We start from the raw sequence: 22640 nt of genomic DNA, 5'->3' as shown, positions 1-22640 counted from the left end.
CGATTAAAGTTGGTGATCTCGGCCGGTTGCAGTGGCTCACGCCTGTAATCCCAGCACTTTGGGAGGCCGAGGTGGTTGGATCACTTGAGGTCAGGAGTTTGAGACCAGCCTAACCAATATGGTGAAACTCTATCTCTACTAAAAATACAAAAATTAGCTGGGCATGGTGGCACATGCCTGTAATCCCAGGTACTTAGGGAGGCTGAGGCAGGAGAATCGCTTGAACCTGGGAGGCAGAGTTTGCAGTGAGCCGAGATGGCGCCATTGCACTCCAGCCTGGACAATAAGAATGAAACTCTGGCCGGGTGCGGTGGCCCATGCCTGTAATCCCAGAACTTTGGGAGGCCGAGGCGGGCGGATCACGAGGTCAGGAGATCGAGACCATCCTGGCAAACACGGTGAAACCCCGTCTCTACTAAAAATACAAAAAAAAAAATTAGCTGGGCCTGTTGGTGGGTGCCTGTAGTCCCAGCTAACTCGGGAGGCTGAGGCAGGAGAATGGCATGAACCCAGGAGGCGGAGCTTGCAGTGAGCCGAGATCACGCCACTGCACTCCAGCCTGGGCGACAGAGCGAGACTCTGGGTCTCAAAAAAAAAAGAGTGAAACTCTATCTCAGAAACAAAAACAAAACAAAACAAAAAACATGGGAGATCTCACCACTCCTCTTCTGTGGTTAGAACAAAGGAGGAACACACGCAGAAGGAGGGATAGGGCCTTACAACTCTCCCTGCCAGCCTGGCCTCATGCATGTTCATTAAACCCCCCAGCAACTGCAGGGTGCACATTCTTTTCAAATGAATATGGAATATTCCTCAAGATAGACCATATGCTGGCCCATCAGACAGGTCTTGATAAATTCAAAGGGATTGAAATAATACTGGATATGTTCTCAGTGAAATTTAAGTGGAAATCAACAACAAAAGATAGCTAGAAAATTCTCAATTATTTGGAAATTAAACAGTACACTTCTAAATAAACCCTGGGTCAAAGAAATTAAAAAGAAAATGAGAAAATATTTTAAACTGAATTATAATGAAAACATAGCATGTCAGTATTTGTGGGATATACATAAAGCAGTATCTAGAAACTTACGGCTTTGTAGCTTAAATGTTTATATTCCATAAGAAGAAACATTACACAAAATCCCTATCAAAACATTGGCAAAAATTAAATCCACTAACATATGTAAAAGGATAATATATTATGGTCAAGTGGCATTTATCCCTGGAATGCAAGGCTGGTTTATATTTGAAAAAATCAGTTCATATAATTCTTCATATTAACAGAATGAAGGTGAAAAACCGTATGATTATCTCAGGGACCACAGGAAAAAGCATTTGACAAGATCCAATGTGATAAAAAAAAATCTCAGCAAACTAGGACTAGAGGGGATCTTCCTCAGCCAGATAAAGGCATGTATGAAAAACCCTCAGCCAGCCAGGCGCGGTGGCTCATGCCTGTAATCCCAACACTTTGGGAGGCCAGGGCAGGTGGATCACCTGAGGTCGGGAGTTCGAGACCAGCCTGACTAACACGGAGAAACCCCGTCTCTACTAAAATACAGAATTAGCCAGGGGTGGTGGCACATGCCTGTAATCCCAGCTACTCAGGAAACTGAGGCAGGAGAATCGCTTGAACCCAGGAGGTGGAGGTTGCAGTGAGCCGAGATCACGCCACTGCACTCCAGCCTGGGCAACAAGAGCAAAACTCTGTCTCAATAAAAAAAAAGGAAAACCCACAGCCAACATTATCACTAGTGGTAACAGGGAAAATGTCCCCTTTGACCCCCACCCCAAGTACAGAACATGCAAGGACGCCTGTTCTCACTGCATGTCTTCTGTGTTGTACTGAAGCTCCTAGCTGGTGCAGTGAGGCAAGACAAAGAAAGGAAATATAGGTGCACTGGGAAGGAAGAAGAAACACTGCCTTTATTCTTTAGGTGACATGATTGTGTGCTTTTAAAATAATAAAGGAATCAACAGAAAAGTTGCTTAACCTAATGAATGAGTTTATCAAAGTCACAAGATACAAGGTCAGTATACAAAAATCAGTTGGATTTCTACATGGTAGAAACAACTGTACATGGAAAAATGTTTAATAGTGTAAGATATGTACATTGGAAACTATGAAAGAGTGTAAAAAATAAAGAAGTGAAATAAATGGAGAAGATACCACCTTGATGGATGGAAGCCTTAAGGTAAAGATGCTCATTCTCCCCACACTGACCTGTACATTCCCCACAGGCCTAATCAAAACCCCCACAGGCTTCTGTGTAGAAATTGACATGCTGATCCTGAAATTTATATGAAAATGCAAAGAGTCTGGAATAACCAAAATAATTTTGTAAAAGAACAAAGAAGACTTCTACTACCTGGTTATAAGACTTCTCTGAAGCACAGAAGTCAAGGCAGTGTGGTGGTGGCATAAGTAATGTAAATCATCCAGGTGTGGTGGCTCAAGCCAGTCATCCAGCACTTTGGGAGGCTGAGGCAGGAGAATCGCTAGAGCCCAGGAGTTGGAAACCAGCCTGGGCAGCATAGCAAGACTCATCTCTACAAAAAATACGAAACAATTAGCTGGGTGTCTGTAGCACATGCCTGTAGTCCCAGCTGCGCGGGAGGCTGAGCTGGGAAGATCACTTTAGCCTGGGAAGTCAGGGGAGCTGTGATCACACCACTGCACTCCAGCCTGGGCAACAGAGCAAGACCCCATCTCAAAAACAAAACAAAACAAAAAACAAATCAGATGGAACAGAATACAGTGTCCAGAAATTGATCCATGTGTATATAATCACCTGGTACTCAACAGAAAGGCCAAGGTAATTTAAGAGGGAAAGGATTGTATTTTCAAAAAATGATGCAAGAACATTTGAAGAGTCATGTGGAGAAAAAACTGAACCTGATTCTGTGCCATAAACAACAGTCAACTTGAAACAGATAATAGACCTAAATGTGAAGGCTAAAACTATTAAGTTTCTATGAGAAAACACAAGAGAAAAGCTTAGTGACCTAGACTGGTCGCGGTGGCTCACGCCTGTAATCCCAGCACTTTGGGAGGCCGAGGCTGGTGGATCACGAGGTCAGGAGATTGAGACCATCCTGGCTAACACGGTGAAACCTTGTCTCTACTAAAAATACAAAAAATTAGCCGGGCCTGGTGGCAGGTGCCTGTAGTCCCAGCTACTGGAGAGGCTGAGGCAGGAGAATGGTGTGAACTCGGGAGGTGGAGCTTGCATTGAGCCGAGATCATGCCACTGCACTCTGGCCTGGGCGACAGAATGAGACTCCGTCTCAAAAAAGAAAAAAAGAAAAGCTTACTGACCTAAGCACAGATTTCTTGGGTTACATAAAGCACTAGCCATAAAAGAGGAAAAAATAGAGTAAGTTGCTGTGAGCAGGAAACACATAAAAACCAAAGTGCTTTTTCCCATTCCTTTCATCAGCAACAATCATCACCACAGAAGACTAAAGTGACCACGTCAGGGGTGGTTCTCCCCGCCAACAAACAAGTAATCAGTTCTGGAGTGGACACCAGATGGGTGCCCTCCAATTCCATTACGACACTGTCTACGTGGGGACAGAGTCAGACCCCACAGGTTGAGGGTTGAGACCTTAAGACTGCCCCCCACTTCCAACACCAGTTGCAAGTCCAGGCCTCTGGAATTTCTGACCAACTAGCCATATATTGGAGTTCCCACGTTCCCCTCGGGTTCAATTAATTTGCTAGAGCAGCTCACAGAACTCAGGGAAACACGTAAGTTTACCAGTGTATTACTTTTTTTTTTTTAAGACAGGGTCTCACTGTGTTGCCCAGGCTGGTCTCCAACTTCTGGGCTCAAGCGATCCTCTTGTCTCAACCTTCCAAGTAGCTGGGACTACAGACATTCCGCCACCATGCCTAGCTAACAAAGGGTATTTTAAGGGTGAAGAGATAAATAGGTGGGGTGAGGTCTGAAAGGATTCCCAGCACAGGAGCTTCTGTCCCTGTGGGTGGGTTGGGGAACTCATTCTTGTTCACCTTCCTGTCAGCCTCCACATTCAGTTCTCTAGAAACTCCCCAAACCCTGTCCTCTTGGGCATTTTATGGAGATGTCATTGGATAGGCATGATTGAAATGTGGACAACCGTGTTGAAATGTGATTGGACAAAAAAGGTGTGATCTAAACCTAGCAAGACCTGACCAGGTTCTTCGGGCTTCTCTGTACAGCATTCCTTATCCCAGGGTATGGTGCAGGACCCCCTCTGGAATAAGAGTCTTATGACCCACAGTCAGATTAGAGTCTAGCTTTGGGCAGGTGAAAGGACGGCAGAAGGTCAGAGAGAGAGATTCTGTTTACTGTAGTAAGGGCTATGGGAGTTATGAGCCAGGGACCCTGGACAAAAACACACATATATGTCATCACAGTTGGACTTTATCAAAATGAGTAACTCTGAACGATATCATGGAGAAAATGAAAAGGCAAGCCACAGACTGGGAGGAAATACTACAAATGTATATTTAATAAAGGACTCATATTTAGGATATATAAAGAACTCATAACTCAGCCAGAAACCAAACAGCCTGCTTCATTATTATTATTTTGAGATGGAGTTTCGCTCTTGTTGCGCAGGCTGGAGTTCAATGGTGCGATCTCGGCTCACCACAACCTCTGCCTTCTGGGTTCAAACGACTCTCCTGCCTCAGCCTCCCAAGTAGCTGGGATTACAGGAGCCCACCACCATGCCTGGCTAATTTTTTTTTTTTTTTAAGTAGAGACGGGGTTTCTTTGTGTTGGTCAGGCTGGTCTCGAACTCCTGACCTCAGGTGATCCACCCGCCTTGGCCTCCCAAAGTGCTAGGATTACAGGCATGAGCCACCGCGCCCGGCCTCAGCCTGCTTTATAAATGGATGGAAGATTTGGACACTTAAGAGAAACACATGGCCAGTAAGAATCTTTTCATGTGTTTTGTATAATTAGTCATTAAAGAAATGTGAATCAAAGCCTCATTGCGATACCCTACACACCCACAGTGATGGCTAAAACTTGAAAGAACTGACGGTCCCAAATGGCGAGCACATGGAGCAATGGGAATGCGCATGCGCTGCTGCTGGGAATGCAGTCGCGACAGCCAGTGTGAAGATGGGTTAGACCACCCAGCAGCCCTCCTGGGGAATTTTTCCAGAACAAATGAAAACAAATTCCACACCAAGACTTGCACTCAAACACTCATAGCAGCTTCATTTGTTTGTCTGTTTTTGAGACAGAGTCTCACTCTGTTGCCCAGGCAGGAGGAGTACAGTGGCCCGATCTTGGCTCACTGCAACCTCCGCCTCCCGGGTTCAAGCAATTCTCCTGCCTCAGCCTCTTGAGTAGCTGGGATTACAGGCGCCCGCCACCGCACCCAGCTAATTTTTTATTTTTAGTAGAGGGGGTTTCGCCGTGTTGACCAGTCTGGTCTCAAACTCCTGACCTCAAGTGATCCGTCTGCCTTGGCCTTCCAAAGTGTTGGGATTACAGGTGTGAGCCACCTCGCCCGGTCTGCACCTTCATTTATAATCGTCCCAAACTGGAAGCAGCCTAAATGCCAGTCAGCAGGTGTGTGGATACGACAGTGCCAGATCCGTGTACTGAGAACACTCGGCAGTGCAAAAGGAAGGTGGCACCAGTGCATGACAGCACAGGCCACTCAGAGACAGCACGCTGAGTGAGAAGCCAGACACGAGGCTGCATATTGTATAGTGGCATTTATGTGCTACTCTAGGAAAGAAAAGTCCAGTCCATAGTGACAGATATTGAGTCGGTGGCTGCCTGTGGCCAACTGCAAGAGGCCCATGGGAGCTTGTAGGGATGCTGGAAACACAGGTCTCCTGACTGCGGTGGTGGAGAACTGGCTGGATGCATCTGTGAAGGCCCTCAACTGGACACTTAAAATGGGCTCATGCTTGTAGAGTAGAAATTACAGCTCAGTTAATTTTTCAAAAAAGTTAATTGTAATCTTCCTGGCTTCTAGAATTGCAGACTTTTAGATTAGGAGTGGGTCTTTGAGATTGTGTTGTCCTCACACAACACAATCCCAGAAAAATAGTGGCAGAAACAGAACACCAAGCCGGGTTTTCTCCCTTGCCTCTCAGTGTCCTTCTTAAAAGTCATGCTGCAGGAGATCCCGGGAAATAGGCGATGGGCATCCTCTTCTCCCCTTCTGTTCTAGACTCGCCTGTGTCCCAGGGGTCTTTTGCTCTAAAAGGTGTGTTATGTCGGTCAGTCAGTGCCCACAGCACCCAGGGTTAGCAAGGTGATGAATGGTAGCAGTGCTAAGCATGTGGATGAGACGTTCATCCTGAGAGGCAGGGCTGGGCTGGCCCATGCCTATAAACCAGGCCTCCTGAGAATGAAGGTGTGTGGGGTGGGCTGGGAGCTTGAGGAGCCTGCACCTGTAGAGCAGCGAGGCCCCCGAGCAGCCCTGCTGCACAGGCCAGTCCTGTGCTTTTGGTCTCATGGGTCCGTGCCCTCAGCTCTTGCCTGGGGTGGGGATTGGGGGACACATGGGCAGGGTTCAGGCCAGCAGGATTCCTTGCTGAGGCCTTCTCTTTGCTGTCTCCTAGGACTACGCCCAAGCAAGGTTTGATGCCTATTTCCACCAGAAGAGGAAGCTTGGGGTGTGACTGTGGGGAGGACTCCATCCACCTCATCACTGGACTGCATGGGGAGGCAGCAGAGCGGGGTCCCCTCTGTGCTTCGACTACTGCTCCTGTGGCAGGAGGCTTTGGGTGGCTCACTACTGAACACATGTGTATGATACTAAAGACGGTATTAAAATGGAGCGACGTTTATTTCATCTCTTGTTTACGATTTCACTAGGACTCAGAAACGAGATCGGGAAGCAGAAATATAGTGCAATAGTGCAACATCTCTGAATCCTTTTAATCTAGAGAAGGCATTTCATATTTGGGGGCTAAGGTTTCCAGTCAGATGAGGCAAACAGCAAGAGTAAGCAGTGTTACTTGCAGGTACTTTGGTTAATGTTGATTTAAATTTTCATGAATGTGCTGGTGAACACTGTGACCAGGCTTTTGTAGATGGCGATGTGTTATAGACGGTGCTCACTCCCAAGGGACAGCAAGTGAGCAGAGATGTACTGCAAAGTCGCCAGTCACTGCTGCAAGGTGGCCTCTGCCTGGGGCCTCCAGAAGCTGCTCCTTTACCCTCTTGGTCCCATGGCTGAAGCTGGAGCAGCGGATTGCTCTGGAGCAGCCAAGGCCGCCAGCGTGTGGAGCAGAGCTCTCCCCTCCTGCTGGGCGTGTGTGACACTGATGAGTTTCACTGTACTGCATGTGACTTCTCCCCTGCCCTTCCTCCTGATGGAGTGTGCAGACAGCCATGCGTGGCCACGGGGGCAGTGTGAGGACCTCCCTGTCTCCCGGCTCCCCTCCCAGGGGAGCCAGCTGCTTGACCTAGCTCTTTGGGCCTCTCCTGCCCTCTGCTCTGCCTGGAGTGTCGGATCCTGTGAGTAGGCTGGGCCTCCCCTGGGCAGGGTTCTCCAAGGGCCCGGTTTCCCGGCCCTTACCTTTCCTGATGCCCCTGACATCATCATTCTTGTGGGAGACAGCAGCCTGTATGTGGTGTGGGGCGTGGATCGAGTGTAGCTGTGAAATCCATATATATGAAATGTCCTGCGGGATACAGTCTTAGCTGACTTTTTTTTACTCTGAACTCTTATTTGAATTGTTTTTTGTGCATATATTTCTGCTACCACAGAGATTGTACTATACAAATAAAAAAATAAAAACCCAACCTCAAGCTGTCACCCTTGGATGTGTCCTGAATCTCAGGCAGGGCTCCTGGTACCTGAAGGAGCCCACGGAGGGCTCCATCTGCACCCACTCAGCCCCTTAGCTTAGCAGTGCTCCGCTGCTCTCAGCTGGCATCCCAGCAGCATGTGGCCCCATCATCAGCCCTCCTCCACCTCCTCCTCTTCTTCCCCAGCACACTCTGGTTTCCCTGCTTCTAGCCCAGAAGCGAAGAGCCCTGGAGGACGTTGGAGACTGGGAGCAGTGCTGGTGCCTGGGGATGCTGAGCGGCTGGGCAGGAGGGAGGCTTTTGCTGTTCAGCCTTCTAGAGAGTTACAGTTTTAAGCAGGTGAAGCCAAACTGAATGAAGCAGTAAAGGTGTTGCGCTCCTGCACAGGAGCTCCAGTGGCTTCTCACTCACCGTCTTCCTGTGCCCAGGCCACTGCTGGCCTCACTCAGCCCTCGCCTCTGCCTGGTCCACACGAGCTCGCTTGCAGTCTCCTCGCAGAGATACATGTGGAGCCGATCTTCCAATACTGGGCTCCTTCACTTTGCCCCACTGTCAGCTCAGTCACAGTCTCAGGCCTTCCTATTCTACCCAGGACACTGCCATTCCCTAAACCACCCTGGGCCCGGCCCTGGCCCATCGTTTCTCTCCATGCAGCTTAACTTTCCTGGAGCCCCTGGTGGTCTCTACATCAGGCCATAAGCTCACGTGGACAAGGATGGGCTCGGGCCTGTGCTGTTCAGTGCCCAGTCCTCCACGCAGGTGACCCACCCCATCCCTATGTCTCCCTATGTCCATGCCCCAGAGGTGCCCACCCCAGTGCCTTATGTGCCATTCTCTTGGCAAACTGGACTTCTCTAGCCACCACTGCCAGGCACCCCCATGTCAAAGCCAGGGCGGGGCTGACTGGTCATGTCCCTGGGATCCCACACTGCACCCCTCCTAAATCACACTGGGGCCACTCACCACGAGTGCTGCTCACCTATCCCCACCTCACTGCCCGCCCCAAGTCTCTGCCCAGCTCTCTCCCCAGGAGGGAGTAAGGCGTTGGGTTCTGGATTTGGTCCAGATCCACCTGCAGCTCTCCGGAGTCCTTCATTTAGCCTTCTCTGCTCCTACCCCAGCACTGTGAGCACCGTTTCTCTAAGCTGAATCTGCTGGGCATGTGGAATTACCTTAGAGCCCCTGATACGACCCCTGGCATCCAGAGGTCCTGAGCAAAGCAGTCCAGGAGCCAATGGACAGGCTCCTCCCAGCAGCTGGCCTCAGCCACAGCTGTGGGAAGAACCACTTTGCAGCTTGTTGGCTTCTGGGAAGCACTTCCTCTGCCTCCCAGTGGGGGTGGGACCCAGGCCAGAGGGAACTGCAGAAAGCCACCCCCATTCTGCCAGCAACGCAGGAAGGACCACCTGGGAGGGATCAGGAAGACTGTAGTCTCAGGTGAGGGGAGGCTGGGCCTGGAGTCAGGCTCAGCCCCTGTTCTGAACCCCGGGGTCCTGGGTAATGTCTGCTGCTGGGGACAGCCTCTACCCTTCCTGGCAGGTGTGTGGCCTTGGGCGTGTGACACCATGGCCCTGCATGGAGCACTGGCCGGGGCTCAGGTGCCCCACACTGCTCTGTACTTCCAGACCCCTGAGGCCCGGCACCAGGGCATGGATATTGGCACCACTCCCAACAGAGAGTAACCCAGACACCCGCTCACAGCCAGGTGCACACCTCCAAGGATGGGGAGCTCACTCCCCTGACCCGGCCTGGGAAGACATTTGCTCACTCCAAGTTAGAATGTGCTGGAAACATCTCTCCTTGGCCCTTTTCTGCCCCTTTTCACCCCAAGAGTCTGACATTATTGCAGATCTGCTCAGGTCCAGGCCTTGACTTTTGAGGTCCCAGATCCTACACCATGCCTTCTACCCTGCCACCTGCCTCAGCTAAAAAGGAGGGAAGAGAGACGAGACATCACTGCCAGGGCGGACCGTCTTTATTCCTCTCCTGCCTCAGAGGTCAGGAAGGAGGTCTGGCAGGACCTGCAGTGGGCCCTAGTCATCTGTGGCAGCGAAGGTGAAGGGACTCAGCTTGTAGCCCGTGCCTGAGTAGAACTTGTTCTGGAATTCCACCCTGGGGGTGAGAAGCAGAGGGGTTGGTGAGGGGAACTCACGCCTTGAGCAGCCCAGGCCAGTGGGTGGTCGCTCACCAGTGCAGCCGCAGGGCGTGCAGGAAGGCTGAGAGTCCCTCCATCACCAGCAGGATAGCCACGGTCATCACGGCAAAGGCGGCAAAGATGGGGACCAGCACCACAGCCGCCACGCCCACCTCCCGGCCCAGGCCCAGGCCTATGCGCATCACCATGGCCCACAGAACCTCGGACAGCTCTGCAAGCAAAGGAGACAGTGGGGGCCAACGGCAAGTGGGTGCCTGCCAGCCCCCTACCTACCTGCCGCAGCCTGAAGCCCTCCCTGCACGGGGGGCCAGCGAGGGACCTCCTTGGACAGTCCCACTTTACAGAGGGGAAACTGAGGCCCAGAGAGAAGCAACCCGCCCAGCCAGCAGCGGTATGTGAGAAGCCAGGAGCTGGGGCCAGCCGTCGGTGGCCAGGTCACTCACGGGCGTGGGCCAGGCTCAGGGCCCACAGGCGCAGGTAGGAGGCGGTGTTGGAGACGCAGCCCAGGCAGAACTCGATGGTGTGGATGGCCTGGTGCATGAGCACCTCGGAGGGGACGAGCTGCGGGGCGGGTGCAGTGAGGGCCGGCAGGGCCTCAGCCGTCCCACCCCCAGGAAGGCACTGCACCCACCTCGGCCTCCTCTTCATCATCCAGGCCCCCTGCCTTTTCCTCATCGGAGCTCCAGCCATTCACAGATGCGTCAGGCAGGTCCAGCAACCCGGCCTTGTTTTCCTCCTGGGGCATGAGCAGGCAGTGTTGGCAGCACTCCAGCCCCAGGAGGTCCCCCACCACCCGCCAGGCCTGCTCCTGGCCACTCAGGAGTCTGTCAGGAAGCGAGGAGTCAGGGACACACCGGACAGTGGCCTCTCCCCGCAAGCAGCCCCCCACACCTTAGGCCCCGGTCCCACCTGTCGGTCAGCGGGCCTCCTCCGCAGGCGGCGGCGGTGGCGGTGCAGCAGGTGCAGGGGTGTGCCAAGCAGCAGGATGGGCACCATGGCCAAGGCCAGGACCACCAGCGTGGCCTGGACCACCTCCTGCCAGGGAGAGGGCGAGAGTCAGGGCGTCCCTGCTGTGCACACCTGCAAAGGAACCTGAGTCACAGCAGTCACGGGGCCCAGAGAGCCTGCGGTCGCTCCTCCCTCCAGGGCCCCCGGGGGCTCCGTGCCCTCACTGGGTGAGGGTCTGCCTCCATAAGGACTCCTGAGGGAAGGGACCCCCGGTTCCCAGTGCCAGTTGTGCCACCTGCTAAAGATGCACACCATCACCTCTGACGGCCCTGTCTGCACGGCCCGGGGCCTGCATCCCCGTTTCTCGGACGAGGATCTTGCAGCTCCCAGTGGCCCTGTGACCGCGGGGTCCCCATGAGGCCGTGTGAGCCCGGCCCCCACCAGCCGCAGCCCACCTGCCGGGGGTAGAGCAGCCTGTTGCTGGGGCTGTGGGAGAAGAGGAACATGTTGATGAAGTGGATGAGGATGCTGGGGGCCGAGGCGGCCCTGGCAGCCCAGACACACAGCCACTTGTAGATGACTAGGAACACGAGGTAACCGAAGAGTCCCAGCAGGAAGGTGAGCTCCGGCAGCGTCTCCAGCAGCAGCCGGTGCCTCTGGCCAAAGTGCCTGGCGGGCAAGAGGGAGGTGTGCTCACTGGGGCCCACTCTGGCCTGCCAGCCTCCCGTCCCCCGGGCAGCCTTGGCCCTCACACGTGGTTGAAGACTCCGAGGACCACCCCAAAGGCCATGTGCACGACGCCCAGGATGACGGACATCTTCATCTTGAAGGAGTTGAGGAAGCTCAAGTGGTTGGCAGCCAGGCTCCAAATCTAGGGTGGCAGCAGGGGTGGGCTGGACTCAGGGGCTCCCTCGCCATCACTGCCAGGAAGTCCCCGGCCCGAGTCACTCTCTCACCACCCTGTTTTCCCCCTCGGAGCCTGCAGCCTCATCCATCACCCACCCACCGAGGGGCAACAGAGCGCAGATGGGCCAGCTGCCACGGTGCCAGCCTGGGTGACCTTGGGCATGACCTCTGTGCCTCAGTCTCTTCTTTAGGTGAGGACACTACTAATGTGAGGCCCACGGGGTTGTTACGAGGTTCAAATAGAAAATCAGGCTGGGCGCGGTGACTCACGCCTGTAATCCCAGCACTTCGAGAGGCTGAAGCAGGTGGATCACATGAGGTCAGGAGTTCGAGACCAGCCTAGCCAACATGGTGAAACCCTGTCTCTACTAAAAATACAGAAATTAGCCAGGCATGGTGGCGGGCGCCTGTAATCCCAGCTACTCAGGAGGCTGAAGCAGGGGAATCGCTTGAACCCGGGAGATGGAGGTTGCAGTGAGCCAAGATCACACCACTGCACTCCAGCCTGGGCAACAGAATGAGACTCTATATCCAAAAATAAAAAAAAGAAAAAAGAAAATCACTTCCACAGAGGGTTGGGAACAGTGCTTGGCACAGTGCAAGCTGCAGGCTGGTTCCTGTCCAGTCTCGCTTTGCCTCTGCACACTCAGGAGACTGGTTCCTGGCTGGTCTCGCTTTGCCTCCGCACACTCAGGGGACTGTGATGCAGGCTCCGCAGGGCAGGAGGCTTGTCTGCCTCTTGTGCTGAGGAAAGGGCCTGGCACACAGGAGTGCTCAGCGACAGCGCTGCAGGACGGCTGAACCGAGGGGAGCCCCAGCCCCCACTCCCAGCTGCCTTCACCACCCACGGACACTCCATCCCAGGACTCACAGGATCGATGCCAAAGGGGTAGGGTCCCAGGAAGACACCGGTGACGTTGGGATCCAGGGTAAGCATCGTGTGCTGGGCCAGGAATGCATCACTGCGGCAACGCAGGGGAGGGCGGTCAGGGCTGCGGGTGCTGCGGGGCCCCCAGCCGGGCTGGGGCCCGGGCCTCACCTCCAGCCAGACTGGTTGGCCATGGCGGCCACACTCCAGCCCGAGGGGAAGATGCTGGTGGCGCGACTGAAGCACTCGTTGTAGATGAAGCCGGTGTAGATGGAGAACAGGCCCATAAGCAGGAGCAGGTAGCGGCCCCTGAAGAAAGTCTGCCAGATCTGGGGGGGCAGTGGTGTGGTGAGGGGCTGCCTGGCCCTGCTACCCTCATCAGGACCCCAGCCCCGCCCCTCACCTCGTTCTGCGCGGCCTTCACAGCCGGTCGGTTCTCCGCAAGGACCATGGCCAGGGCGAACAGGAACATGAGCAGCCCGTGGCCCACATCCCCGAACATCACAGCAAACAGGAAGGGGAAGGTGATGATGGTGTAGGGAGCTGTGGGCAGAGGTGGGTGAGCTGGGAACCCCCGAACACACCAGCATCTGCCTCCCGGCCCAAGACGCCACGGAGGCCCTGCTGGCCTGCAGTCAAGAACCCATCACTTAGCAGCCAGGCACAGTGGCTCATGCCTGTAATCCCAGCACTCTGGGAGGCCGAGACGGGGGGGGGGGGGGGCATCACCCGAGGTCAGGAGTTCGAGACCAGCCTGGCCCACACGGTGAAACCCTGCCTGTACTAAAAACAGAAAAATTAGCTGGGCATGGTGGCAGGTGCCTGTAATCCCAGCTACTCAGGAGGCTGAGGCAGGAGAATCATTTGAACCCGGGAGGCGGAGGTTGCAGTGAGCCGAGCTCGCGCCACTGCACTCCAGCCTGCGCGACAGAGCGAAGATTCTGTCTCCGAAAAAAAAAAAAAAAAAAAGAACCCACCACTTAGGAGCTGTGTGACCTTGGCCCAGCCACTTCACCTCTCTGAGCCTCCATTTCCCCATCTGTAAAATGCAGGTAACACCAGACCACTTCATAAGTTCTCCACGGGCAGCACGGGCCAGCTGCTGGAGCCACAGGAAGTTAGCAGCTTCAGCTGTTGCTGTTCCCAGAGCTCCACACAGAAGCCAGAGAGGACAGGGAGCCACAGGCAGCCCCAGCTGGCACATGGCAAGTTCCGGGAGGCCGAGCTGGTCACTTCAGCTCTGAAGTCTCGACTTCCCATCAGTAAAATGGGAACAAGTCCTCATGGGAGGCAGGAGGACCCCAACATACACACTGTCAGGGGCTGTGTTGTGACCCCAAAAAAGATACACTGGAGTCGCAACCCCCAGGAACTCCAGATGTGACCTTCTTTGGAGACAGGGTCCTTACAGAGGTCACTGGGTTAAGATAAGGCCATTACAGTGGGCCCCAATCCAGTGTGCCCGATGTCCTTATGAAAAGGAACATTTGGACCCACATAGAAGGAGAACAGTGTGTGAAGATGAGGACGGCCGCTCCAAGCCCAGGAGAGAGGCCGGGAACAGATCTTCCTGGACAGCCTCAGAAGGAGCCACTCCTGCTGACAACACCTCATCATCTTTTATTTTTTTAAGATACAAGGGCTTGCTATGTTGCCCAGGCTGGTCTCGAACTCCTGGACTCCAGAGATCCTCCTCCCACCACAGCCTCCCAAAGTGCTGAGATCACAGGCATCAGCCAGTGCCCCCGGCCCCTGCTGACACCTTGGTCTTGGACTTCCAGCCTCCAGGACTGTGGGACCGTGTCTGCCCCTTAAGCCAGTAGCCGGTGGCACTTTGTTACAGCTTCCCTGGCAAACACGCTGCCCCGACGGCTGGTGCTTTGAGCTGGCAGCATTCTATCTGCCACGGGCCTCCAGGTGATGCTCTAGCTGCACCAGCCTCTGCCCACGTGCAGGGGAATCCTGTTGGGGCCCAGATCCAGCCCCAGGACACTGGCCCTGCAGAAGCAGCAAACCCCCCAGTGCCCCCAGTGACACTGAGTGGGGGCCCGGCCCATAGCATGGGTGTGATGTGGTGGAGCCCATGTCGGGAGGGGACTTGGTCACAGGACAGGGAGGGGCCCTGCCTCATCCAGTGGGCAAGAGTCAGGGTGCTTGGGCCCCCAACGGCCTGTGTGGGTGGATCACGTGAGGTCGGGGGTTCAAGACCAGCCTGACCAACATGGTGAAACCCCATCTCTACTAAAAATATGAAATTAGCCAGGCGTGGTGGTGCGTGCCTGTAATCCCAGCTACTTGGGAGGCTGAGGCAGGAGAATCGCTTGAACCTGGGAGGCGGAGGTTTCAGTGAGCCGAGATCATGCCATTGCACTCCAGCCTGGGCAACTGAGCAAGACTCTATCTCAAAAAAAAAAAAAAAGCTGTGCAACCAAAGCAACCACACCAAAGGCTGCCCCTGGCTCCAGCTTGCAGTCTCCAACAGTCACTAAGCTTCCCAACATTCCTCTGAGGTTTGCGCTATTATTTCCATTTTGCAGGTGAGGCAGCTGAGGCTCAGAGAAGCTAAGAAATGTCTCAAAGTAGGCGAGATGGGCTTCCAACCTGGGCCATGCCCACCGCACAGCCTCTGTTCTTTGCACAAGCCCGTGCCGGCTCCCTTGTAAACTCAACAAGGGGGAGTTGGCTGGGGGCCGACATAAAGCCTCACACTGGCTGCAGAGCCCAACAGCCCCTTGAGAGTGATGGGATGTGTGCCCCTCATCCCAGGAGGGCAGGCCAGGCCCAGGATGGAGATACCTCCCCCTCAGGCTCACACCCACCCAGTGGGGCAGCTGAGCCTCCCAGGACACGGGTAAGGATGCCGTGGCTCTCACCGGGGTTGACCTCCTGGTAGCGGCCCACGCCGTAGGCATCCACGATGCCCTGGAAGCTGGCCGTGAAGCGGTTGGTGCGGATGAGTGTGGGGGGCATGTCCCGGCAGGGGATGCGGTGAGCCACGGCACTCACTCCCTCCTCCATCTGGGTGCCAGGGCAGAGACAGACCAGAACGGTGGCGGGGGCCTTCAGGGACCCTGGGATCTCCAGCCAGGCCCAGCTGGAGATGTAGAGCCCTGTGGGGGCTCACTGGGCAGCCCCTTCCCCTCTCTCTGACGTGAGATGATCAGCCCTGCTCTGCCCTGGTGGGGGCCCAAAGACACCACATGGATTGGCAATTGCTTGGGAAAGGCAAGCATGCTGCCTCCTAGGGACGGCCCAGGAGAAGGAGCCCAGCCTCACCCGCAAGCACCTGCTGTGCGCGGCGGGTGACCCCCGGAGGCAGGGGCATCACACCGGTTCCACAGACCATGAGCAGGCCTAAGGTCACAGGGGGGCCTGGATTGGAATGAGGCTTCTGACTTTAAAACTATCCTGTGCAGCCTCCAGGGACTTAGGAAAGTCAGGGTAGGGCTTGCTGGGCCAGGGCCATCAGGGCAGACTCCCTGGAAGCGGTGGGCCATGGAGGAGGCTGGGAGGAGAAGGAGCCCCTAGGCAAAGCCCAGGTGCAGGGAGCCAGAGGCTGGAAGTGAGGCAGAAACGCCCCGGCCTGGTAGGAGGGGCGGGCGGAGAGGGGGCGAGGCCTCAGGCTGCTCACCGAGCTGTCCCGCAGGGCCTCCTGCAGGGCGGGCAGGTCTCGCACAGAGCACCAGGCCTCGGCAATGAGGCACTTGTGCGTGGTGCTCACGCTGCACTGGTTCAGGGCCAGGTACACGGCCTTCATCTTGTGGACCTGCACCTGCCCTGGCGGCAGCAGCTGCAGCACCCGGCCTAGCACCTGGCTCAGGAACCGCTCTGTCTCCCCGAGGACCTGCGCCAGAGTGGGCAGTCAGCGGGGGCTGGGCAGGCAGGTGGGGTGGCTGGGCCGGGGGCACCCACCTCCTGCACCCACCTCCTGGAGGCCAGGCCAGGGCACCCACCTCCTGCACCCACCTCCTGGAGGCCAGGCCAGGGCACCCACCTCCTGCACCCACCTCCGGGAGGCCGGGGGCACCCACCTCCTACACCCGCCTCCGGAAGGCCGGGGGCACCCACCTCCTGCAGCTCCTGGCTCTGCTGTTGCAGCTGCTGCAGGGCCCCGAGGCGGGCCTCCTCCTGCTGCAGAAACGGGAAGACGTGGCAGTGGAAGCTGGAGGGAGGATGCGCTGCGTGAGGGGCCAGAAGGACACAGCTACGAGACTCTGAGTCTGAAGGGAGCTCATGGGGAGGAGTCACGATAGGGCGGGCTGGGAGGTGACAGCAGGGGCCTGGGGAGCAGGGCGGTGGGGCGGGTGTTCCCAGTGACTCACCAGTCCGTGATCTTGCGGATCTTCTGTCCGATCTGCTCACCCCAGTAGGAGATGAGGAAGGTCATCCACGTGGCTGGCTCGCCCTGCAGAGCAGGCTCAGCTGACTCTGGGGTCCCGCTCTGCCCAGGACCCCCCAGCCCAGCGCCAGCTGCTCACCGTCACGGGGTGCTCCAGCGGCTGCTCCAGCTCCCTGAAGCTGGCAATGAGGAAGCCGCGGCAGGCCCTCCAGAGCAGGCGCTCTAGGGCAGGGGCCTTGTGGGGCTCCACGGCACCTGCCACAAAGCTGGCGGCCACGGGGCTGGGCAGGGCTGCTCCAACCTCCTGCCCTGCCTCCCCCACCAGGCCCCCCGGGCAGGACCCTGCCCAGCACGGGCAATCGGGCAATTGGGCACACTGGCCCTGCCCACAGGGGAAGGCAGGAGGCCTCCCGGGCAGGACCAGAAGAGGAGAACCCCCTAGGGCTAGGGCTTGGGACTGTGGGAAGTTCCGGGCCTGAAGGAGGAGGCGGGGCCAGCCTGGGGAGAGCACTGGACAAGGAGTCGGAGCTCAGCCTGGCCCAGCCCAGCGACTGGCCAGGGGTTCTGGGCTGGCCAGAAAGGGCATGAGGTCATCCCTCACTCACTTGACCCTCAGGTCCTGGTGCGGCCCCCCGGGGGCCTGGAGCAGGGGCGTCCTCTCTGAGGCCCCATCTGTGTGGGCGGCTGCCAGCTAGGAACCCAGAAGCACCATGAGCCCTAGGCTGGACAGCCCCTCCCCAGCCCCCCAGTCTCCTGCCTGGGTGGGAGCTGACCTGAGGTTCATGGCCCTGGCGTAGCACGGCGGCGTGGAGCTGCAGCTGGTGCAGCTGGGCCCGCAGGGCCTGCTGGTTGCCCCGCACATCCCGCAGCTCCTGGGCCAGGCGCTCCGTCTCCTCCTGGATGCGCAGCAGGTCCCGGGGTGGGGGTGCCGGCAGCCTCCCCTTTGGCGGGGGCAGGACCAGCCCAGCCCGCCGCACCTCCTCCTGCAGGAAGGCTGGGCGCAGAGGAACGGGAGTGGGGTGCAGTTGAGGTTGTCTCAACAGTTGAGGGCCCCACCTGCTGCCCCAAACTCCATCGGCCACCAGCTGCTGGATTCACCAGGTGGAGGTGGCCAGAAAATCCCGGCCAAACTTTCATCCAGAAGCTGTGCTCCCCTCCCTGAGCTCAGGTCTGGGCTCACTCTCCCTCCCCAGTCCCTTGGCCACCACTCAGAAGAGGGCCTGAGGTCTCCCCACAGGCCGGCCCTTGCGCTGCAGGGCTTGGGACCGGAGCTGGCGTGAGTCCTGTGTCTGCCTGATCATTGAAAAGCTGTAAACTGCACCAGCAAACACAAAACCCTGCCTGCCCCATGCCCCTGCCTTGGTGCCCCCACAGGCTCCTCCTGAGAGGGGTTGCCCAGGGCAGGGGTCCCTTTTGCCTGCTCCTTAGGGGTACCCTACCCTAGATCCTGGGCCCCACCCACCCCAGCCCAGCTGTAGAGGAGAAAGCTGTCTGTGCCTCTTCCCTGCTTAGAAACCCCTGTGGCTTCCTGGCGCCCACAGGACGAAGTCCTGGGCTCTTATGCTGTATTCGAGGCCTCCCCAGCCAGCCCTGCCCTAGGCCCTCTGCTCAGCCCACACAAGGCAGCCACCTTCGCAAGCACACTTCACAGATCCCAGCTGCTCTGTCTTGGCCCTGCAGGGCCCTGCATATACCTCCCTTCTCTGCCTTCCACCTGGCAAACCCAGACTCTTCCTTTCAGATCAAACTTGGCCCATGCCTCCTCCAGGAAGCCTGCCTGGAATGTAGGCCTGGGACCAACTCACTGAAGGTCTTCTCCAGCTCCTCACAGCGCCGAACATCAACCACAAAGCGTCTCTGGAAGGCGCTCACCGAGGCGTTGAGCTGTGGGTGCCACACGGAGGGGTGAGTGTCCCGGGAAGGGGGTCAGGGAGCTCCTCACCCTAGAGCCCAGGCCTGACTCTCCCCAGGCCTTAGCTGCCTCCTCCAGAAAGGTGTGGAGTGCCCTGGGAGCCACAAGACGCAGATCAGAGCACAGACCAGACCCCATGCCCCAGGAGGGTATGGGGAGGAGCCAGCTCAGGGGCCTCAGCTGCGGGCTTCCCATGAGCAGTGCCCATGGCAGGGGCCGCTGGGGTTCAAATGGGGCCAGGGCCCTATGGCGGAGGGGGGGCAGTCCCCATCCTGGACCGGCCTCCGGGCTAACCTTGGCAGTAGCCCCCTTCCCACGCCTGCCCACCCAACTCACGTCTCTGAACTCCACGAGGCCCAGCTCGCCCAGCCGACTCACGCAGGTGTAGGCAGCCGCTGTGGGCAGAAAGAGCTGGACCAGGGCCACCTCCTCGCTCCGGAACATGGAGCCCATGGTCCTGTGGGTGGACACGGATGGGGGCCAGTCAGGGGCAGACCACAGACAGTTCCCAACCACGGGCACCTGTGCACCTTCACTCACTGAATCCTGGAAGCTGCTGTTACCACCCCCATCTGACAGAGGTGGAAACTGAGGCCTGGGCAGGCTTGATGCGGTGCTGAGGTCACGCAGAAAGTAAGCAGTGGGACTGGGAGACCCCGAAGCCCACCCTCAGGCCGACCTCAAGCTCTCTCCTGGCTTGCTCTGCCCATGGGGACCCCCGCCCCTACCTCCAGCGTCTCCCAGTGACACCGGCTCCACCCCCACCTTCACTCTGGCCTCCCTCCTCTCGGGCTGCCGTCACCCTAGACAGGACCCCACTGGCCCAGGCACTTAGGCCCAGGGCTGCCCCGGGGGTGGCTGGAGCCCTCGCTGCTCCCTGTGGAGCTGCATGTGCTGAGTGGTAGGAGCGGGCATCTCCACCGGGTACCCTGGGGCTAGCCAGGGAGCACTGCTGTGGGGGGGCTGTCCCCTGAGGCCCGGGCCGCCCGGCAGCAGCCGCAGCCTTCCAGGTGTTGAAACCAACAAAAGTGAAACTACAGAATGGCGGGGAAGGGCCCGGGGCCTTGCTCAAGGCCGATGTGGGGTGGGGGCAGGTGCCAGGCCACCTCCAACCCGCCCTGGATGCTGGGGCCCCTCCAGCTCCAAAGCCACTGCTCTCAGGGCCCAGGGCCCCTCTGTGGGAATCAGTTGCTTAGCTCGAAAATTAGGGGGAGGGGACAGGCCTGGTCAGGGCCCCGCCTGCCCAGCCAGTCACTTCCTCCCCTGGGTCTGGTTTACTTAACTCTAAACAGGGAAACGCAGCCCCAGCCCCAGCCTGGGAAAGGAGAGAAGGAGGGAACGAGGGAACACTGAGCAGATGGCCCAAGGCTGCAGGTGGGCAGGGCAGGGGGCAGCGGGGCTGGGTTCCATCCCTAAGGACCAGGCCCGGCCACAGGGCAGAGGGACTTGGAGCCCAGGCTGAGATTGGGTGTGTGACCTTGGGCAAGTCTCTCACCCTCTCTGTGCCTCTACTTCCTCTTTGGGTGAATGGGACGTGGCACCCCTGACAGAGACAGGATCTAGGGAGGTGACAAAAATAACCAGAGCCTCAACTGAATCCCTTCATCCACACGACCTCACACTAATCCCTGGGGGGAGAAACCCTTGGGGAGGGGGTACGGTGCTTTTGTTTCATACAGGACTCCACTGACACTTGGAGAGGTAAAGTCCAATGTTATGTGCCCAGCACAAAGGGTGAGCTCAGAGGAGGGTTGTGTCTGACCTGGCTCCCTTTGGGGCTGTGCTGGCCAAATAAGGAGGTGTGGGGAATCAGCTCTGGGGATCTGGGGAGGGGTCACCCCTGGCTCAGGGCCATCAGGGCTCCCACAGCCACTATGCCGAGGGCTCGAGGGCCGGGCTCCTTCCAGCACTTCCCAGGGGGTGGGGGAACAACCTGTAATGGGCGGGGGGAAAGGTGTGGGGACGTGATCAGCCCCCGTGCCTGGCATGTGAGGCTCCACTGGCTCACCCCCTACCCCTGTCCCCCTTGGTCCCCGCTCTAGCCAGGGTCACCCAGCCACTTTTATGGTGTAAATGAATACGCCTCCATCCTGCGGCCCTGGGGTCCAGGCTCCAGCCCACTCCTCACCCTGTGCCCCTTTCCTGGCCCCTCCAGGAACCCAGCAGGTCTCTCTGCACCTCTGCCCTCCCCTCCAGATGATGGGAAGGCAGTAGGAGAGGGTCTGGCGCCCCCTCCATTCCAAATGGGGTGGGCTCTGGAGTCAAATGACCCAGCTGGTCTCCAGCTCTGACACTTCCTAGTTGTGTGGTCTCAGCTTCCCCATCTGTAGAATGGGTCCCTCCCTCCAAGGAAGCAGCAGCGGGGAAAGCTCCGCGCACACCAGGCCCGGGAACGCTGGGCTGTGTTGGTAAACACCCCATCCTTCTCCTCCTCCCTTGGGGATCCTCCGTGGCCCCCCGCAAGGCCTGACACCCTGCGGGGTGGCGGGCTGAGCTGCATTCACGGAGCCAACTGGGTGGGGCGCCAGGATCTCCTCCCCGGGGCAGGGGGAAGAGGGTGGGCAGGAAATTCTGGGGCTCCGCAGACCCCGGCAGGGGCACTCACCCCGGGTGTGCTGCGCGCCGCGCCTCCGCTGCTGGCTGCCCCGCTCCGCGCACGCCGGGCGGGACTCAGAACTGCACTCCCGCCAGCCCGGGACTAGGCGCCGCTCACTCCTTTCCGGGCAGGCGGGACGACGGGGAGGGGCCAGGGACGCCCCGCCCCCGGCCCAAGGCTCCACTGGAGTCCAGGAAGTCTGGGAGAGGTTGAGCCCAGGCTGTGGCCTGGCGGACGGGTCCTGAGGCGCTTAATCCCGGAGAGGAGGCCTGGAGAAAGGAGCGGATAACAGACCACTGCCAACCGCGCGCGTCTATGCTGGCCCCGATGCAGGGGCAGCTCCGCTCAGGCCCAGCTCAGGATAGGAGATGAGACCCTGCTCTCCTCTCACTTCGAGGCTTGTGCGCCTCTGGCTGATGGGACCCCAACATTCGCAGGCTCATGGGCTTGGGGTCCCCAGGATGCTCCCCCACCTCCGGGACCCCTCCCTTGGGCGGCAGTGAAACCCGCCGGTGCTTACACCTTCCTGCTCTTGACCACCCTGGAGAGGCCCCGCTCTGGCCCTTGGGTGGGTGGCTGCCCCACTCTGGGCCTGCTTCACTGGCAGCAGGACACAGGGCCAGGCCATGCTGCCTTGTTCTGCCCAGCGCCCCGCACCCAGCAGGCCCTGGGAGATACCCTGGGGCCAGAGGCCAGCTGTCAGCTCCACCTGCAGCTGCAGCCGCGGGGGGTAGAGGGGGGTGTCACTGTGACCTTGCTCCAGGTCAGCACCATGGGCGTCATCAGGTCCTAGTGCCTGGAAGCTGGGACTCACGACCGTCCAGCTGCCTGCACTTTGGACAGGCCTGGGGCATTCCCACTGGAGGCCAGGGGCCCTTCAGCTCTGGTGATCCCTAAGCCCCACACAGCGAGCACAGGCCTGTGGGGCTGCGGCAGGGGTGGACAAGTGGAGCCCCAGAGCCGGGCCTGGAAACTGAGTCACAGCCAAGCTCAGCTGTGGTTCCTCAGAAAATTGGGGGACTTGTGGTTGGGCGCCATAGGCCTGTTCTGACAGGGTCGGGGCCTGATACAACCAGACAGCCTGAGTGGGGTCTCAGCAGTAAGTGCCTGGGAGACCACGGTAAGGGAAAGAACCCAG

The 22640-nt window shown here is 57.8% G+C and overlaps 2 protein-coding genes and 1 non-coding gene across 33 annotated transcripts in view, besides 6 other annotated features; 1 reads left to right on the top strand and 2 right to left on the bottom strand.

Annotated features, from left to right (window-relative positions):
- The window catches only part of CHKA (choline kinase alpha), a 68530-nt gene extending 60758 nt beyond the window's left edge, over window positions 1-7772 (top strand). For all 7 annotated transcript variants that reach the window (NR_164782.1, NM_001376222.1, NM_001376221.1 and 4 more), the window contains one exon: window positions 6584-7772. Coding sequence is in view for 6 of the 7 variants with exons in the window: in NM_001376222.1 (NP_001363151.1) it covers window positions 6584-6643 (60 nt within the window). In the remaining variant the exon portion in view is untranslated. The remainder of the gene's footprint in view (window positions 1-6583) is intronic.
- Window positions 6869-21606, bottom strand: TCIRG1 (T cell immune regulator 1, ATPase H+ transporting V0 subunit a3). Of its 25 annotated transcripts, none has more exons than NM_001440552.1 (21): window positions 21512-21606; window positions 20669-20839; window positions 19243-19363; window positions 18800-18878; window positions 17768-17988; window positions 17600-17685; window positions 17134-17260; window positions 16978-17060; window positions 16724-16817; window positions 16287-16499; window positions 15529-15673; window positions 13059-13198; window positions 12827-12984; window positions 12659-12749; window positions 11634-11752; window positions 11337-11550; window positions 10843-10968; window positions 10565-10669; window positions 10377-10494; window positions 9967-10144; window positions 9736-9890 (listed from the first exon to the last, which is right to left on the bottom strand). In NM_001440552.1, exons 3-21 carry the CDS (start codon window positions 19357-19359, stop codon window positions 9812-9814), a joined length of 2493 nt encoding a protein of 830 aa, NP_001427481.1. In that variant the 5' UTR covers window positions 19360-19363; window positions 20669-20839; window positions 21512-21606; the 3' UTR covers window positions 9736-9811. The 25 variants fall into 25 exon arrangements, with proteins under 25 accessions (XP_047282196.1, NP_001427481.1, NP_001427484.1 ...); NM_001440555.1 differs by having other exon boundaries at window positions 19285-19363; NM_001440557.1 differs by lacking the exon at window positions 9967-10144.
- Window positions 9710-10702: an enhancer, noted in NCBI's record as "H3K4me1 hESC enhancer chr11:67817396-67818388 (GRCh37/hg19 assembly coordinates)". NCBI's record gives its function as "activates a minimal SCP1, AML or CMV promoter by ChIP-STARR-seq in primed H9 embryonic stem cells {active_cell/tissue: H9 hESC(primed)}" and the evidence as "EXISTENCE:reporter gene assay evidence [ECO:0000049][PMID:30033119]".
- Window positions 15674-15837, bottom strand: MIR6753 (microRNA 6753). The gene has a single exon (NR_106811.1). It is a non-coding gene; the product is annotated as a microRNA 6753 (primary transcript).
- Window positions 19605-19734: a silencer, noted in NCBI's record as "silent region_3657". NCBI's record gives its function as "represses an Ori minimal core promoter by ATAC-STARR-seq in GM12878 lymphoblastoid cells {active_cell/tissue: GM12878}" and the evidence as "EXISTENCE:reporter gene assay evidence [ECO:0000049][PMID:35858748]".
- Window positions 21415-21494: a silencer, noted in NCBI's record as "silent region_3656". NCBI's record gives its function as "represses an Ori minimal core promoter by ATAC-STARR-seq in GM12878 lymphoblastoid cells {active_cell/tissue: GM12878}" and the evidence as "EXISTENCE:reporter gene assay evidence [ECO:0000049][PMID:35858748]".
- Window positions 21555-21734: a silencer, noted in NCBI's record as "silent region_3655". NCBI's record gives its function as "represses an Ori minimal core promoter by ATAC-STARR-seq in GM12878 lymphoblastoid cells {active_cell/tissue: GM12878}" and the evidence as "EXISTENCE:reporter gene assay evidence [ECO:0000049][PMID:35858748]".
- Window positions 21555-22247: a biological region, named in NCBI's record as "H3K27ac-H3K4me1 hESC enhancer GRCh37_chr11:67805851-67806472".
- Window positions 21626-22247: an enhancer, noted in NCBI's record as "H3K27ac-H3K4me1 hESC enhancer chr11:67805851-67806472 (GRCh37/hg19 assembly coordinates)". NCBI's record gives its function as "activates a minimal SCP1, AML or CMV promoter by ChIP-STARR-seq in naive H9 embryonic stem cells {active_cell/tissue: H9 hESC(naive)}" and the evidence as "EXISTENCE:reporter gene assay evidence [ECO:0000049][PMID:30033119]".

This window comes from Homo sapiens, chromosome 11 (genome assembly GCF_000001405.40).
Source record: "Homo sapiens chromosome 11, GRCh38.p14 Primary Assembly".
NCBI classification, from domain to species: Eukaryota; Metazoa; Chordata; class Mammalia; order Primates; family Hominidae; genus Homo; species Homo sapiens.
The sequence above is the reverse complement of the archived record's forward strand: the minus strand, read 5'-3'. Positions and strand labels throughout refer to the sequence as shown.

Coding starts and splice junctions, on each gene's coding strand:
- TCIRG1 (NM_001440552.1), bottom strand. CDS start 19,359: ATGGGCTCCATGTTCCGGAGCGAGGAGGTGGCCCTGGTCCAGCTCTTT. Junction 17,686..17,767: donor GCCAGGGCCATGAACCTCAG/GTCAGCTCCCAC, acceptor CTGGGTTCCTAG/CTGGCAGCCGCCCACACAGA. Junction 10,969..11,336: donor GGCTGCTCTACCCCCGGCAG/GTGGGCTGCGGC, acceptor TCTCCCTGGCAG/GAGGTGGTCCAGGCCACGCT.